General features: G+C 33.9%; 1 protein-coding gene across 3 annotated transcripts in view; it reads left to right on the top strand.

The window, feature by feature from the left end:
• The window catches only part of CNBD1 (cyclic nucleotide binding domain containing 1), a 562,238-nt gene that overhangs the window by 415,705 nt on the left and 134,002 nt on the right, over nucleotides 1–12,531 (top strand). For 2 of the 3 annotated variants that reach the window (NM_173538.3, XM_017013149.2), the window contains exons 7-8: nucleotides 2,559–2,696; nucleotides 4,420–4,552. In NM_173538.3, coding sequence (NP_775809.1) covers nucleotides 2,559–2,696; nucleotides 4,420–4,552 — 271 coding nt within the window. Of the gene's footprint in view, nucleotides 1–2,558; nucleotides 2,697–4,419; nucleotides 5,008–12,531 lie in introns of those variants that run through there. The other variant, XM_047421411.1, reaches the window with a different exon arrangement.

Here is a 12,531-nt window from a genome sequence, read left to right on the forward strand (position 1 = left end):
TGTACTTTTTTTCAACTTGTATATAATTAAATTTGTAATTTGAAGGAAACCTATACAATATTTTTCTTTCCTAGCCCAAGAATATAAAGATTCTCAAATATTTTAATTCTAACTTTCTGCTTGTCTGTTCTGAGTGTTTGAAAGCAATTTAAATCTCTCTTATTTTAAAAGAGTACCATATTAGTCATTCTAAAATTATTATATATCAATAATGCTATTTACATTTACCAATGTTTTTAGCTAATTATTTGCCCTCCATTTTGGATTCAGTATTGTTCTAGCTGAAATTCATCTTTTAGTCATTTGTTTCTTATAATGTCTAAAATTATTATCTTGTTTCTTTACTCTTACTCTAAATTGCTATTTCAAGTAAATAAAGAATTCTGGGTTGAATGTTATTTTTCCTGAGCACTTTTAAGATAACCATATTTACAGAACAAAATGGAAAATTATAAATATTAATACTTTTAAAAATAATTCAACTAAAATAATTGGTGTGTAAGGCGTATTGGAAGTTTTATAATTTCCTAATTATTAATATTAGGGAGTCTGATGATATTTTTTAATTAATTGAGAAAGAAAGCCTTAATATTATTCAAAGTCATGGATGATTTTTGCTTTCATAATGGCTTATTAGGTAATTCCAACTAACTCCCTAAAACAATAGATAAATTGAAAAAATTAAATGGACAATATCTGCTTGAAATTATTGCTAGCTAATGAGATCGTAAATAGGAGATCTAGCAGAGGAGAAAGATTAGGAGAATATACCAAATCCTGAGCAGGAATATAAAAGCAAATGCATCTTTCAGTTTTGTGTGTTGCTTGGTTTGGACAACTCACTTCCCTCAGCCCTGGAAAACTTGCAGCCATTATCACTTATGTATCACCGTTTTCCCATTCTTTTCAGTTTCTTCTAGAATTTCTGTTAGATATATGCTAAATGGTCTCCATCTATCTTCTGTAGCTATTACAACCCCCTTCTTATTTCCATTTCTTCTACATTTTATTCCAGAGTATTTTCTTGTATATTATCCATGTAATGAATTCTTTTTAAAATTATCTTTAATCTACAAATTATTGTGACCATTATTTACAGAAGTTTTATTTTGTTCTTTTCCAAAATACTTCTTTTTGCTTCCATCATGTCATGTTCTGATTTTTATAGTCTACACATTTTAAATATTTGTAGTTTCTTTTAGGTTGTTCAATTTTTTTCTCCTTCTTCATGGACTTCCCTTTATAGGGTTTTATTCATTTGTGTGGCTTGTAATTTTTTTTATTAAGATTTTGTCATCAGCAAGGATTGCTTTCTGTGGGAGTTCCTTTCTCTCTGAATTTATACATAAGGTTAAGTTTGTATAATACCTTCCTGGATCCTAGGAGTTTTACTAGTTGTGTACCAGGCTTTTTATTGATTTTTCAGCTTTGGGTCTTCTACTATGCATAAGTGTATGCTCTGTACTCATTCAAGTTGCAGACCTAGGTTCTTGATTTTCTAACAATTCTGTCCAGTTTCATGGCTAGATAGCCAGCTTCTATGTGGCTTTCGTAAAGTACTGGATGTAGTTCTTCCTGTCCCCACTTCACAACTGGGGCAATCCTCCAAGTTCCTAGACTTTAGGCAAGGAGGCACAATTCCAGGCTCTCACCTTGCATGGCTCTGAGTCCCATCTCCTGTTCCTACATGTACAACAAGCCTCAGAACTCAGTTCTTCAGGACCTTATTTGGGTTTGATAGGACTGTGGCTCACTTTGGCCTCAGCTGTGACTGTTTGACATTTTAAATTTCCTCTATATATTTGGACTTGCAGATTCGAGCTCAGTTATGCATTTAGCTAAAAAGAAAAATAGTCTATGGATTTGAAGTAGAAAAATGGAAGTTTTCCCATATCATCTTAGATAGGCATATCGACCTGATGTTTTCCCTAAGAAGCTCCTCAGCCTCTCATAAAAATACGCTCCTTATCCTTCACATGCCCTCCACTTTTTCCTGAGTAAATATAAATGTAGGTTCTCTGTGCAACTATATATAATATCATTATAACCTAATAACTCATGACATGTATTCTAGTAGTAACATTTTTCCATGCCTAATATTTATTGTTTACATATTAAATTAAGCAATCATCCATAAATATTAATGGTTTATATACTGTTTAACATTTTATTCATTTTTGTTATTACTGAATACTACCAACATGTGATAATAAAACAAACAGAAGATCATATATATAAGTGTACAAAATTTCTTCATTCTTTCAACTACTATTTATTGAATGGCTGCTATATTCCAAGCACTCTAATAGGCACTTTAAATCACTGAATAAAACAGAAGATTTTTTATGTTATTTTCTTCATGTCGGTGAAAAAGAATGGCCATTTCTCTTGCCTTGGGAAGTGACATCGAGCAGAAGTAGTAGGAGCCATCCATGCAGAGACAGTTTAGAACCCCCTCTTTCATAGAATGAAAGCTTGACCTACAATCCAATCCTTCACTGGCATTTTCATGTTGATGAGTGGTAATAAACATTAAATTGTCTCTGGTATTTTTACAGCTTAGCAAATGGAGTACCTTTGGGACTCTGGAAGTTATGCCTCAGAATGAATCGGAAACACAGATGTTCTCGGTGGTGACAGAAGACGATTGTGAAATTCTTAAAATCCCAGCAAAGGGATATGCAAAGATAAAGGAGGTAAGATGATATCTAATATTTTATATAAACAAAAATTGGGCATAAACTCAAGCTACATTTTGATTCTCTAGACAAAGACAGCTATATCTGTTTTATTTTTAAATTTTAATTTAACCTAGAGACCATAAAAATGTTATTTGACAAAAATCACTTAAGAGTGCTGGTGATAGGTAGGTGAGGTGTAAACAAAGGTCTCAATGAATATATTTCAGGTAATTTTTAAATACCCTTTGGCTTTTCATTAATTTTAAACTCATTAATTTATTCATTCATTCACTCACTCATTCATTCAACAAATATGTGTTTTGCATGTCCGCAGCATGTCATATGCTAAGAATACTAGAATAATAAGACAGATAATAGTACTGCTGCTTTCCCAGTCTCTGTAGTCTACTTTAAAAGGAAAAATACTTGAATGTGATTGCCATGATATTTCATAATTACAACAGATATCAAACTCAGAGCTGCATGAATAAGTGATAACAACTTATTCTGATTCCCTAATTCTGCGTTTTTAAGATAACTTCATTTACTTAAAGTTTAATAATTTATTCTCTTCTAATCAAATCCAAATTTTTTCTTGACTCCTATTTTTCCTCCTTTGGATATCAGAAGAAGTTTGTATAAATAATGAGATTGAGGCTAGGGGCGGTGGCTCATGCCTGTAATCTCAGCACTTTGGGAGGCCGAGGAGGGTGTATCACCTGAGGTGGGGAGTTCGAGCCAGCCTGACCAACATGGAGAAACCCCTTCTCTACTAAAAAGACAAAATTAGCCGGGCTTGGTGGCACATCCCTGTAATCCCAGCACTTTAGGAGACCAAGGCAGGCAGATCAGCTGAGGTCGAGAGTTCGAGACCAGCCTGACCAACATGGAGAAACCCTGTCTCTACTGAAAATACAAAATTAGCCGGACATGGTGGTGCATGCCTGTAATCCCAGCTACTCGGGAGGCTGAGGCAGGAGAATTGCTTGAACCCAGGAAGTGGAGTTTGTGGTGAGGAAAGATCGCACCATTGCACTCCAGCCTGGGCAACAAGAGTGAAACTCCGTCTCAAAAATAAATAAATAAATAAAAAATAATGGGATTCAAAGGTTTCCATGATCCTGCTGTTTCATCTTTTTTTGAATGAGCTTAAGCCAGGTGCAGGTCCTGCAGAAAGCTGGCATAAGCCATGGTTCAGTGCTCATGTGGAGTGGTGTTGAGAAGACATCCATCTTCTTGGGTCTCCAGTGGTGGGGAATTCTTGTGATTTAGTGGTCCCAGTGTCAGTAGTGCAGGTAATTCTCTCAGAATTCAACGTTATTCCAAATCCCTGATGTTTATTTGTTTTGATTTTCAGAGTGGCTAGCTTTAACAAAAAATTCTTTATGTTTTGTTTTTATTTCCCAAATATCAGTACCAGTTACTTGATTTTATCAAACACAACTTTTTAGTTTAATCTTGACTATGACAGGGTTTTTAAAAACTTCTAAAACATTTATAGAAGTATAATAAATTATGAAAGGTGAGCAAATATAATTTTAGTAAGTAGATCTGAAGATTAACATTTTAATATGTCTATGTGGCCATAGAGTGATGCTCAGATAAAATTCAAATGTATTCTATACTAACTTATATTCATATGGCCTTTATTTTACTTCTCTCACCATTTATCTATTTGCTATTTCTTTGATTTTAAATTGCCTGTTATTAAAAATTTGATAATGACATTCTGTTTTAGGAAAAAATAAAACTTGAAAATATGCAAAAGTTGAAATTAATCCGTATGTGTCCTTATTATGAGGAATGGCCTACTTTATCCATATATGAGCTAATTGCACTCCTTAAATGGAAAAAATTTCCTCCAGGTCATGGTAAGTTTAATGCAATTTAGATCATTTTGTTTGCATTCTGTTATATTATTGGAATTGAAATTCTTCATAGTTGTAATATTTTATACAATATTTCTTCATATAAATATTCTCTAATTTATTTGATAATAACATTTGAATTGGACATTTAGATTATTTCCTGCTTTTTATTAAAAATGATACTGTACTGGCTTGAAGTGTGGTCTCAGGACTAACCTTACTTTTAACATCTCTCTCTACTCCCTTTAACTGTTCCGCACTTGCTCCACCCTGACAGTTACTATAAGGGCCAAACTGAAAAGGATAAATACTAGAGGGTATAGCCACTCACACAGGAGAAAAGGAAAAAAACCATTTTTTTCTTTTCCTTTTTCCTGGGTGGATAACTATTTAAGCAGCAAGTTTGCTAATCTGTACTTGTGCTACATATATTAGCCATGGAAAAAAATAATTATGGAGAATGAGTGAGGCCTAGATAAGAGAAAGCAGCAGTGAAGCACCTACATTTTCAATATTCAGCATAGCAAGGATGCACGGATTTCCTGGATTATGTGTACACAAAAAGTGTAGGTGGTATTGAGTCATTTTGCATGATTTGTCCATCTATGAAAGCCAATTTAACAAGGGTTGCTAAACCAAGAGGAACTGTGGTAGGATGGGCCAGAGCTTTAGGTCTCTTTTGGTAAGGAAACACAATTGCTACATGAGAGACAGCCACAGATAACAGAGAGAGGATGGCGACCTCGACTCTCTTTCCTCACAGCCAGTGAAGGAGCCAGAACTTAGATTATAATGGAAGAGGAAGTGTTTGAAAGAAATACTTCTACCCCAAGTCTGCAAAGCCACAATTATAGTGAGGGACATTTTTAATTTAAGTTTGAGATTAAAGTTCTAAAACGAATGAATCTGATTGGTAAATTCTAGACAGCTACTATTTTAATAATAAAAACATGGCAGACTAGTTATGAAATCTGGCTAAGGTATCCTTTGAGGGAAACACTGTAACACAGGAAAACGAGGTTCAGCATACCAGGAGTTCTTTTACTGAAAAAAAGTAAATATCATTAGAGGCAAGTTTATGCTTTAAAAAGCAGGGATACTCTAATAAACCACTTAAATTTGGTGAGAATCTAAAACCTTTCTCGTATTTCTTCCAAATTTCCTTCTACTGCTTGCATTTATATTTTATTTATCATGTTTTTGAGATGTAGCATTTAATCCATGTTTAGTCAAATAACTATTTTTGCTCATAAATTTGAATATTTGTAATATTATGTTTTTGTTTATGACATTTTTTTCCTAATTAGTTATAAATGGCATTTTTTTAACCAAAAGTACAAATGGAAGGCAAGTAGTAAACTGACTTGTAAAAAATCGGGAATTGAATATTTCTAAATTCCCCATGTTTATTACATAGAAACAGATGAGCATCCCAGAACCAGTTTGATACCTCCAGGTCCCAGTGATTCAAGTACCTGTAATGATGATGCCTTTTTGTTCCTTCATTCATCCTTCACTGGTCTCTTTTGTTTTGGACAATTTTTTCTAACGTAGCATATTAATTCTTATAATAATTTTTCACCATATTTGCTATTTTTCATGGTTGCTTTATTTTTTATGGTTGTTTTGGATTTGTCATGGTTTTGTCACAGGTTTCCCACTTTTTATCAGAAATATCAAATTTTGATCCTTGCCTCTCTTCCATGCTTTTAATAAAAATATAATATCCAATCTTTGCCCATCTATCATTATATTAATATTTTTGAGGTGATTAGAAAAGAGGAAAGAGACCATCATAAAGATATTTTAAATTAGGGGATCCAAAAGAATTTGAAATTTGGAAAGGGGAGAATGATTATGTGTTTTAATATGTTTGATTACTAATGATAATCTGTCTCTTGATCTAAAATATCAATCAAAAGTACTAAAATTTTGCATCAAAGAGCTAAAAAGGTACTGAGACAGTTAACATACTGTTTCCTAGACTAATATTGAATTCAAGTTCTTTTTTGTAAATATCTTGAAAAATAAACGGTGGTGTTTGTTAAACTACCGATAGCATTGGACAATCTGTGAGTCTATTGAATAAGTCAAAATAATATTGTTTTCTCACCTATTCCCAAACATATAAATGTGTGGTACTTTCATAGTTTTAGAAAATATTTAACCTCCTTAGAGAAGAATGACAATTTCATCTGATAATCATCAAAGCCCTATGAGTTCTGAAAGACTGTAGTTTTTATAAATAAATATACCTACGTGAAGAATAAGTCCTGTCAAATTCATCTAATTTTCTTTTATGGTAGTGACAAACTTGATATATCAAAGAGAGGAATTGGATTATAATACTTCCTGACTGTTTAGTCAAGATTTAGTTTGAATTTTTATCAGAGAATGTAGAGAATGTAGCTCAAATTACACTTTTATTATCTGGTTTGAAAATTAGCAGTAGTATGATTTCCAAGCATAATTATGTGTGTTTTGATCTTATTTTAAGAATGTACAGTGGATAGGGTTTCAGAGGGATTTAGTTAATTATTCAAAAGCTTGATAGAGTTTAGGATTAATCCTTGGCAATCAATGAAATAAGTAAAGCTTGTATCTGACTCTATTTGCTTTGTTAACTTCTTACATCTTCCTACTTTTGCTTCATATGCCAAGGGAACCTTATTATAATGAATATGTACAGTGTTGCTTATAATTTGGGTGTGTCCAGTTTATATCACATCGGCTAAAGTCTTCCCAGTTGTTATTCTTTCAAGATGTGGCCAACTTGAAAGCGACAACCAGCTTAGGTCACTAATCAACCTGTTCCCATGTGTATCATGGATATAAGAAAAAATGGTAAACTGACTTGGCAAACATTTAACTATTTATGCATATTTTGTTGTTTTCTTGCTTATGTCAGTATGCCCCCATCTTTCTCCAGGTAGGATTTGATATAGCAAACATGTTAATTGGAAAAACTAAAAAAATTACAGCAACATATTTAGTGCAGAAAGATAAAGTATGTGAAAATCATAATAATAACAGTAATAGTCAAAATTATATCTAGTTATCTCAAACCAAATGTGGAGTGTTTCAGTCACAAAATACATAGGCTCTACATCCCTTCAATTTTTTGACATCAATCTCTTCCAGTTCAATTTACTCTTCAGGGAATCAAAAGTCTTAGTCCCATGAGACACTCTTGAGCATCCCAGAACCGGTTTGATACCTCGAGGTGCCAGTGATTCAAGTACCTGTGATGGTGATGCCTTTTTATTCCTTCATTCATCCTTCACTGGTCTCTTTTGTCTTGGACAATATTTTCTAGTGTAGCATATTAATTCTTTTAATAATTTTTCACCATATTTGTTACTTTTTATGGTTGCTTTAGGTCTTACCATATAAATTTCAATTTAGCAGAATCTACTTCAGATTTTTACTAACTTAATTCCAGTTTTAAATGTGACTCATGTAGCTCTATTTCCATTTCCTCCTTTATATGTTATTATTATTATACATATTGCATCTACATATGTTACAAATTTAACAATACATTATTATTTTATATAAAGTTATGTCTCAAAAACAAAGAAAAAAGAGATCAAATATATATTTATAGGGTTCATTATATTAGACATCATATTTACCATTTCTAGTCATTTTTATTTGTTCCTGTGGACTTGAGTTGTCATCTGATATGCTTTCCTTAGTTCAATATCAGTTTTCTCCCACCTGCTTTCTTATGCTGCTATTGGCAAATATATTATATTTCTATATGTTATAGATCCAACAACATTATACACATATTATTTCACACAATCACTCTTTATGAGTAAGAGAAGAATGGATAAGAAATATGCATTTCTCCTACCTTTTACAATTACACATTTACCTTTAGTGGTACTTTTTGATTTTTCATGTGGATTCAAATTACTATCTGGGGATGCTTGTTTGCAGCCTGAAGAACTTTTTTTAGTATTTCTTTGAGGGAGTATATGCTAGTAACAAATACTGCCAGGTTTTCTTGTACTGAGAATTTCTTCATTTCTCCTTTACTTTTGAAAGACAGCTTTGCAGGGTGTAGGATTTGAAGCTGAAATTGGGTTATTTTGTGTAAGTTAAAAATGCAATCCCACTTTCTTCTGGCTTCTATTGTTTCTGATGTGAAGACAGCTGTTAATTTTATTGGGATTCACTTATAAGTGACAAGGCTTTTGCTTGCTGGTTTCAATATTTTCTCCTTGTCTTTGGCTTAAAGAAGTTTTACCATAATGTGTCTGTTTGCTTATTTTCTTACCTAGTACTAGAATTTTCTGTCACATACTTTATAGCCCTATTTATTACTAATCTCTCTGTTTCTGACTCTCTCATATATTGTTAGCTATGCTAATCAGTTTTAAAGTTTTTCTTGTTATTCACCCACTTAGAAATAGTCTATGTCCTCTCATTGTTATTCAGGTAAAATGCAAAATCTTTAATGTAGTTTGAAAGGACATTTGTATCTGGGCCATACCTATATCTCAAAGTTTTAATTTTAATAATTCTTCTCTTTTTGTTCATGTTTCTGCCAACCTGGACTTTTATTAGTTCTTCTAGTGTCACTATCGCCATTGAGGGCTTTTACACATGTTGTTCCTTCTTCCTGGAGAAGTTACTTACCCCTCATTTCAGTATATTTACTATTGTTAAGATAATGTTTTCTGGACCAATTGAGATTCTATTGCTCTTTCTTGCTTGCAGAGATGCCTCTTTGTCTCTCTGGGGGTCAAGAAATATTTTCTGCTAAAGAGCAGATACTAAATATTAGCTTTGTAGGTCATATAGTGCCTCTGTTACATATCCGCCTCCTTCTTCTTTTTAATGCCTTTAACAGTGTAAGAATCACCCTTAGTTGTAGTGTTATAAAAAAAAATGGGCCTTGGGTCAGATTTGGTCCGCGGTCTAAAGTTTTCCAACTCCTGTCCTATCTTATTTTGTTAATCGCCTTATTTTTTGGGGTGAGGGGGCACAGGGGACAAGGTCTCATTATATTATCCAGGCTGGACTCAAACTCCTGGGCTCAAGTGATCATTCAACCTCAGCCATTCGAGTAGCTGAGACTAAAGGCACATGCCACCATGCCTGGCTTTCCTTGTATTATCTTAACACTCATTATGCTGTGTCATAATTAATAGCTTAAGGGTCAATTTGTCCACTAGACTTAAAATTTCTTTGGAATGGAACCATCTTATTTTTTAGTACCCAACAAATATCTAGAATTTGCAAGCCCTTGAAAATATTGTTGATGAGTGAATGAATATTTTGATGTCAGTGTTTACCCTTAGACCAAAGTTATGACTTTTTTCTTCCAAAAGAAAATAATTTAACTCTTTGCTGCTCAGTACATCTGGGTTGTATTAACATTTGGCATTAATTCTCTCTGTTTGAGGAAAATGCTGTCATTGATTCAATCTTAAAATATATTAATACATTTATTGATAAATCTCCTGATTAAAACACAAGCTATTGCTTTGCTATCTTTGAGTAGATGTTTTACAGAATTGCATCGTTGCAATAAATCAACCATTAATAATGCTGAAAGGCTATACTGTCTTAAACTCACAATCCTGAGAGAATAAAGGCAATTTGGATTTAAGGTGAGGTTAAATAAGGAAAACATTAGCACGGCATTAAGGACAGCAATAGTTAAAGAAGTTTGAAAGTCTGTTCTCTTCAGTGAATCACCAAGAGTAAAAGATTTGTAGAATCTATCAACTAATTTTTATTTTTGGTCATCATGTTTAATTCTCAGTATGCATGCGGCAAGCTTTCTACTACATGGGGTGTGAGAAATGGAATGATCACTGATAAATGCAATTCAAGTATAATTTCCCTCCTTCTTATTAAGTTTGTCATCATATGTATTGTTCTTATTAATACAACTGTAAGAAAAAATTTTGGTGAATGATGAATACTGTAGATTATATGGCTCAATGCCTCTTCCAAGCACTTCTAACCAACCTGTGAAAGCTAAAAACAGCTAAAGACTACATGTTCTAGAATCCTTTGTAAAAGTTTTAATTTTGATTGTGGCCTCCATTCTGCCCAGTATATATTTCTCTGCAGTATCTGGAAGAAGTCAGGAGCAGCTCTCCTTGCAACCATGGTGATGAGCATGGTGGTTCTAAAGTTCATCCCCTGTTTCACACGTGATGAGTGGCACAGAGCAGCAGGAGTGAGGTTTCCTTTAGAAGAGCTCTGTGTTGTGAGTGGGCATTTCCGCTGGCTACTCTATTTTCTTGCTCTATAGTATTGAATTCTAGTTTTATGGCCCTACTAGAGCTTCCTAACACCCTCTGATAAACGACTTTTTATTTAAGTTAGATCGCAAGAGTCTGCTGTCTGTACCTAGGAACAAAGGGCTGCGCACTGGGTGTTCATTCTACCAATGGTCTCCTTTGTGAATACCTAGTTTTTTCAACATTTTTTCATTTCAAAAATAAATTTTTTTCATAAGAAATATGAAATTTGTCTCTTCATATTTTTAACATCTGTGTACAGAACACCATGCTAGTTGCTTTTGTTGTGGCAATGAAAAGAAATACATTTTTAAATCACTTAAAGTCAGGCCGGACACAGTGGCTCACACCCATATCCTGGCACTTTGGGAGGCTGAGGTGGGCTGACCACCTGAGGTCAGGAGCTCAAGACCAGCCTGGACAACATGATGAAACCACGTCTCTGCTAAAAGAACAAAAATTAGCCAGGCACAGTGGCAGGCGCTTGTAATCCCAGCTACCTAGGAGGCTGAGGCAGGAGAATCTCTTGAACCAGGAGGCTGAGGTTGCAGTGAGCCGAGATCGTGCTGCTGCACTCCAGCCTGGGTGACAGAGCAAGACTCCATCTCAAAAAACAAAATAAAATAAAATCACTTAAAGTCAAATGCTTCAGTAACTACACTGTACTCCTTACTATGTAGGACAGTTTGTTGATCTCAAAGATTTAATAATTAGAAAAATACAAAAAGTATGATTTTTAAACAAATGAGATAGATCAAAATATGATGTCTTAAAATGATTTTCACTATCTCATGGACATATATATTATCTAACATAATAAATATCAACACACACAGTGGAAACTGAATAGGAGAGAGGATTTTTTGGATATGGTTTAACCCAAAGTAGGACTGATAATGTGAGGCAGGAAAAATAGCATAAGCCAATATATGGTTTTCAGATCTTGCTTTAGAATAGTTGATCAAACAGCCCAATTTAATCAGATGCATATTCATGAACATTGGGAGATCAGTCAGACTTTCTGTAGTCTCAGGCATTTTAAATACCATATTCATATGCTTGGGCTTTAACTTACAGATAATGTGACATCATTAAAGGTTTTGAATAACAGAAGAGACCTGAAAAAGTCAAAGTTTTAGGGGAATAGCAGAGCAATATGAGTGATAGTTGAAAGGAGAGAGGTACTAGAAAACCAGAACAATTAGGAGTCTATTTTGGTAGTACCAGAGGCAAAGAGATGAGAGGCAATGGAGATAAGAAGTAGTGGTGACAGTAATAATGGAAATAAATTAATATGAGGAATGTTTTCATTATTTGGGAGTATTGTATAGAATAGATCTTTTCAAATACATTTCCACTTCTTTGCAATGCTGACAGTCTATACATGTTGGGGATGTTCTGGTTTTTCAGATCTCTACCAGAGTGCTCTGTTGCTGCACAGATGCATATGTCTGTGGATGTCAGTTTAAACACACATCAGACACTGAGAACGGATTCTCAAGCATGGGTTGAAAGGGACCTGTGCTCTCACCCACCACCTGCAGCATTAGAACACACATTTCCTGGATTTCTCACTGTCTCCACTCCAAAGTCTTTTGTGAGTGCAGGCCACTATTTATATATGTTCAGAGGAGAGTTGCTTTTATTTTCCTACCCAGAGCCCAAGCATAAAGATAGTTTCCAGAATGACTCATTTCATGTGTGGAAAGATATTTT

This window comes from Homo sapiens, chromosome 8 (genome assembly GCF_000001405.40).
Source record: "Homo sapiens chromosome 8, GRCh38.p14 Primary Assembly".
NCBI lineage: Eukaryota > Metazoa > Chordata > Mammalia > Primates > Hominidae > Homo > Homo sapiens.